The 6000-nt window shown below is 42.8% G+C and overlaps 1 long non-coding RNA gene across 1 annotated transcript in view, besides 1 other annotated feature; it reads right to left on the bottom strand.

Moving 5' to 3' along the window:
• Positions 1-1060: 1060 nt before the first annotated feature.
• The window catches only part of COP1-DT (COP1 divergent transcript), a 58469-nt gene continuing 53529 nt past the window's right edge, over positions 1061-6000 (bottom strand). The window contains exon 5 of the long non-coding RNA NR_185981.1: positions 1061-2141. This is a non-coding gene — a long non-coding RNA (COP1 divergent transcript). The remainder of the gene's footprint in view (positions 2142-6000) is intronic.
• Positions 5339-5950: an enhancer, noted in NCBI's record as "H3K27ac-H3K4me1 hESC enhancer chr1:176230380-176230991 (GRCh37/hg19 assembly coordinates)". NCBI's record gives its function as "activates a minimal SCP1, AML or CMV promoter by ChIP-STARR-seq in primed H9 embryonic stem cells {active_cell/tissue: H9 hESC(primed)}" and the evidence as "EXISTENCE:reporter gene assay evidence [ECO:0000049][PMID:30033119]".

Genomic DNA, 6000 nt, shown 5'->3' with positions numbered 1-6000 from the left:
GGGCTGGATGTGGTGGCTCACGTCTGTAATCCTAGCACTTTGGGAGGCTGAGGCGGGCAAATCACTTGAGGTCAGGAGATGGAGACCAGCCTGGCCAACATATGAAACCCCATCTCTACTAAAGATACAAAACTTAACCGGGCATGGTGGCACACGCCTGTAATCCCAGCTACTGGGGAGGCTGAGGCAGGAGAATTGCTTGAACCCAGGAGGCGGAGGTTGAAGTGAGCCGAGATCACGCCACTGCACTCCAGCCCGGGCCACAGAGCAAGAATCCCTCTCAAAAAAAAAAAAGAAAAAGAAAAGTAAAAAGAAAGAAAATAATAATATTTTACTACATTGGCTACATTGGCTGGGTGTGATGGCTCACGTCTGTAATCCCAGGGAAGCCAAGGTGGGTGGATCACTTAAGGTCAGCAGTTCAAGACCAGCCTAGTCAATATGGTGAAAGCCCGCCTCTACTAAAAACACAAAAATTAGCCAGGTGTGGTGGCACGCCCCTGTAAGTCTCAGCTACCTGAGGCTGAGGTAGGAGAATCACTTGAGCCCAGGAGGTGGAGGTTGCAGTAAGTCGAGATTGGGCCACAGGACTCCAGCCTAGAGCGAGACTCTGTCTCAAAAAAAAAAAAAACACTTTACTACATTTACCCTCATTTTAATTTACATATTTGTTGATGTGATGTATTTTATTTCTCTGGATGGATAGATAGATAGATAGATAGATAGATAGATAGATAGATAGAGTGGAAGATATAGTCCATACTCAACACAAAACACTTCTGTGACCAGATTTATGGGGGTTTACCCCCATACCAAGTAATTTCACAATACTTGCTGATGTCTTGTCAATACTTTAGTTCAATTCTGATACTATCTAACTGAAGATAGTGTCAGATCCCACAGATTAAGGGCTCAGCTCCACAGAACTGCCCCACTTCTGATGCCAATCACAAATCCTAGCCTCTGGAACTTCTGATTGACAAGCTATAAGTTGGGGTTTTTCAAGCCCCTTTCCTTGGGTTCAGTCATTTGCTAAAGCATCTCACAGAACTCAGAAAAGTGCTTTATTTCCATTTTCCAGTTTATTATAAAAGATACAGTGGAGTCCTAATAAAATAAGTAAGCCACAGCAAGGAGAGGGCCTGAGGTAGGGAAGAACAATTGTTCTGAAAGACAGTTAATCACAGACAATCTGCTGGCATGACATCCTACTCCCAGATACCTTGTTCCACATGTAGCCCCACCAGAATGACCTTATCTACAAAGCCCCGCTAGTATGACCTTATAAAACTTCCCTCCAGCTCCTGCCTCTTTGCAGACAGCCCCTTCTCTGCTGTGCTGCCCCTTGCTTCCTGGCAATGCACTTTCCCTCTAATAAATCTTTATTTCTTTCTCCACATCTGTCTTGATAAATTCTTTTACCACCTGCAATGCTGGCCCCAGCCAGTGGCACCCATGACAGATACTAAAAAGGATACAGATGGGGATGCATAGGGCAAGCTATGCGGGAAGGGGTACAAAGCTTTCATCCCTTTCCAGGTGCATCATCTTTCTAGCAGCCCCATGTGTCCAAAAGCTCTCTGAACCCCTTCCCTTAGGGTATTTTTTTTTTGAGGCTGCACTTTGTGGCTGTGATCAATTAAGTCACTGGCTATAGGTGATCAACTCTACCTTCATTCCCTCTCCCCTCCTGTAGTGAGCCGAAAGTTTCAAATCTCTAATCACATGGTTGGATTCCCTGGCAATCCCCCCTCATCTAGAGGCTATCCAGGAGCCCCCACCCATCACTCATCTCATTAGCATAAAATAAGACACATCACATTGGAGATTCCAAGGGTTTTAGGAGCTGTGTGCCAGAAAATAGGGTTGAAGACCAAATGGATATTTGTTATTATAAATCACAATATCTTAGACACAGAGAGAAGATAGGTAGGTAGGTAGGTAGATAGATAGATAGATAGATAGATAGATAGATAGATAGATGACAGATAATAGATGGATAGATAGATAGATAGAATTCTAAATACCATAAGACAGTTTTATCATTGTTTTAAACCACATTAATTTAAACTTACCTCTTTCTTTGCTCTCCATTTCTTTCTATACCTCTGATCTTCCATCCAGGGTAATTTTCCTTCAACCTAAGGAATACCCATTGAAATTTATTTTATTGTGATTATCTCTGTTTCTGTTGATCTGAAAATTTATATACTATTTTCTTATATCCAAAGGGTATTTTTGGTTTGTAGAGCTTATATTTCAGTTGTCATAATTGTCAGCACCTTGAAGAAGTCATTCCACTGTTTTCTGGCCTGCAGATTTGTTGAGAATTCATTTGTAAATCCAATTGTTGCTTCCTTGATGGCAGCCTATCTTGTTTGTATAGCTGCTTTAAAGGTTTTCTATTTGGTTTGTTTTATGCAATTTCTCTATGAAGTGTCTAGATGTACTTTTCTTTTTATTCAACTGCCATGGGATTCATTGGATTTTTGTGTATTGATGTCTTTCACCAGTTCTAAAAGTCTCAGCCATTATCTCTTCAAATATTTGTAAAAGATATTACAAAATGTCACTTTTTATAGCTGCTAGTTTTCTGGCCAATTTTTCAGGCTTGGCCTTTCTGTTTGTAAACACAGAAATATCACTGTTTTATAGACTGTGTCTGATAATTCCAATCTCCAGGTCTCTGGGGGTTTGTTTATGTTTCTTGATTTTTCTTCTGGTTTTCCCCAACTTATTTTGTCCCTTTGTTTTCTTTGATTATATGCTATACGTTTTATTTGAAAACATCCGTATAGAAATTGTTATAGGCCACAGATAATATTATTTTCTCCTGAAAGTACTTTTATTTTCTTCTGCTAGGCTCCTAAAGTCTGGGAACATATTAATCCAAGTTCAAGAACAGAGATGTTTTTATGCTAATAAAATAAGTGGTCATCTTGGAAACCCCAAACATGTGATCCCAGGCTCTGACTATTGCTCTCTTGACTACCCAAAATACTGCTCAGCCTATCAACTGCCAATGTCAAATAAGCAAATATTCTCTAGGTGAAACTTCAGTGTTCCCAGACTTCCCTGCATCCTGCATGTCAATCCAGTAATTGTTTTATATATATATGCCTTTAGTTAGATGCCTTCAGTTACAGATATATGTATATGTATGTATGTACATAACATAACTAATATATATCTCTATACATATATATCATACATACACATACATACATATATATTAGTTGTGTCCAGTGGGAAGGTTTGTCCAAATTATCCAGTCTGATGTTACTGGCCTTTCCTTTCTTTCCTGTAACTAAACTTATCTTGATTTTGAGCTTCCATCCTGCTAGGTAGTAAGCGGAAATAATTTACACTTTCTAACTAAGGGCATCTTTGGCTATTTACTTTTATAATAGTAAATTCAGTCTCTTTTGAAAAAAATGTGTCTTTTGGGACAATATCAAGTGCTGTCTAATTTCTCCCCTCCCCCTCTACCCAAGAGGTAATCAATTATACTTGAAAACTTATGAAGGAGCTCAGGAAATTTCACCCCCAAAATATAACATCCTTATATGTTGATTATTTTAAATTAATGGCCCTTGAAGGTCAGCAGATGCTTGAAGAGGCTCTATACTGATATTCCTTTATCTATTTTAAGACTAAACCAGGGGGATGGCAGCATTGAGAGGGAAATGAAGGATTCAACCAGGATTGGCTCAGAGCCAAGAGGGACTCATTAGTGCTGGGAAAAGATAAGTGGGAGATCCTCATTACCAGTGTGGATTACTGCAATCCTAGCTACAGGAGACCCCCACAGTTCTCAGAGGCCCTGAGATTAGTACAGGAAGTTGCCTAGAGTCCATATGGCTTCATTGCTCTAGAAAAGGAATTCATGTTGGGTCTCCCCTACTTGCCAAGACCCAAAATGCTACAGTTTGGTGCCATTCTGAGAACAGAGCTAGAGTGCATCCTGCACTAGAGGCCAATAGCTCCTGCATCTCCACATCCTTGAGGCCAATCATCAACCTAACATGCTCACACAAAAGGCTGGAACACCACAACCCCAGCTACACCAGGAAGTACAACCATGACAATAGCACATGAGCCCATGAAGCACCCTGCACCCTAAGAAACGGGGGATTTAACACAGCAAGTAGACCATCCCCAAGACTGAGGTAACCAACAAATGTGTCCCCCAAGGCCCAAAGACCAGCACATGTAGTATCTACCACCACTAAGGGGACCCCATCCACCTCAACCAGTGAAGACACCATGCATTATGTGCACCTGCCAGGGCAAAAGTATCAGTTTGCTCAGCACCCACCATTGCTAGTGATGACAACAACTCCATGACTGGCAGAGCTGCCATACATGCTACACACACACACACCAAGGGCCTGAGAACTGACCCATCTCTGTCCCCAGCAAAACCATACCACTACCTTAACAAACACCTGCAGTTCTTAGGACATTGAGGCACTCACAGACATCGCTGATATTTATTACAGCCAAAGAAATCACTTGGAGACTACACTACAGCACCAACCTAAAACCAAAGCCAAAACACTCTACCTAACTGATACTGTAGGAAACATCTGCGTGAAAAAGTTTCCTCCACAAAAACTACTCCATAAAATTGTAATAAGCAGCTATTCCACCAGATGCACAGATATCAATGAAGGGACACACACACACACACACAAAAAAAAAAAAACATAAAAAAGCAAGGAAAGATGACACCTTAAAAGGAACACAATAACTATGCGGGAACCAACCCTAAAGAAAAGGGAATGTATGAAATGTCTGAGAAGGAATTTAAAATAATGATCTTAAGGAGACTCCATGAGATACAAAAAAAATACAGGTAGACAATTCAACAAAATCAGAAAAACAATACATAATCTGACTGAGAAATTTAACAGAAATAGATATCATTTAAAAAGAAACAAACAGAAATCTCAGAAATGAAGAATTAAATGAATGAAATAAAAAATATAATCAAGAACTTCAACCACAGACTAGATCAAGCAGAAGAAAGAGTTTCTGAACTTTAAGACAGGTTCAGAAAGTTTCAAAAGACAGGCCTTTTGGGAGGAGCCAAGATGGCCGAATAGGAACAGCTCCGGTCTACAGCTCCCAGCGTGAGCGACGCAGAAGACGGGTGATTTCTGCATTTCCATCTGAGGTACCGGGTTCATCTCACTAGGGAGTGCCAGACAGTGGGCGCAGGCCAGTGTGTGCGCGCACCGTGCGCGAGCCGAAGCAGGGCGAGGCATTCCCTCACCTGGGAAGTGCAAGGGGTCAGGGAGTTCCCTTTCCGAGTCAAAGAAAGGGGTGACTGACGCACCTGGAAAATCGGGTCACTCCCACCCGAATATTGCGCTTTTCAGACCGGCTTAAAAAACGGCGCACCACGAGACTATATCCCACACCTGGCTCAGAGGGTCCTACGCCCACGGAATCTCGCTGATTGCTAGCACAGCAGTCTGAGATCAAACTGCAAGGCAGCAACGAGGCTGGGGGAGGGGCGCCCGCCATTGCCCAGGCTTGCTTAGGTAAACAAAGCAGCCGGGAATCTCGAACTTGGTGGAGCCCACCACAGCTCAAGGAGGCCTGCCTGCCTCTGTAGGCTCCACCTCTGGGGGCAGGGCACAGACAAAAAGACAGCAGTAACCTCTGCAGACTTAAGTGTCCCTGTCTGACAGCTTTGAAGAGAGCAGTGGTTCTCCCAGCACGCAGCTGGAGATCTGAGAACAGGCAGACTGCCTCCTCAAGTGGGTCCCTGACCCCTGACCCCCGAGCAGCCTAACTGGGAGGCACCCCCCAGCAGGGGCACACTGACACCTCACACGGCAGGGTATTCCAACAGACCTGCAGCTGAGGGTCCTGTCTGTCAGAAGGAAAACTAACAACCAGAAAGGACATCTACACCGAAAACCCATCTGTACATCACCATCATCAAAGACCAAAAGTAGATAAAACCACAAAGATGGGGAAAAAACAGAA

This window comes from Homo sapiens, chromosome 1, assembly GCF_000001405.40.
Source record: "Homo sapiens chromosome 1, GRCh38.p14 Primary Assembly".
Lineage (NCBI taxonomy): Eukaryota > Metazoa > Chordata > Mammalia > Primates > Hominidae > Homo > Homo sapiens.
This window is presented reverse-complemented; position numbering and strand designations above follow the sequence as displayed.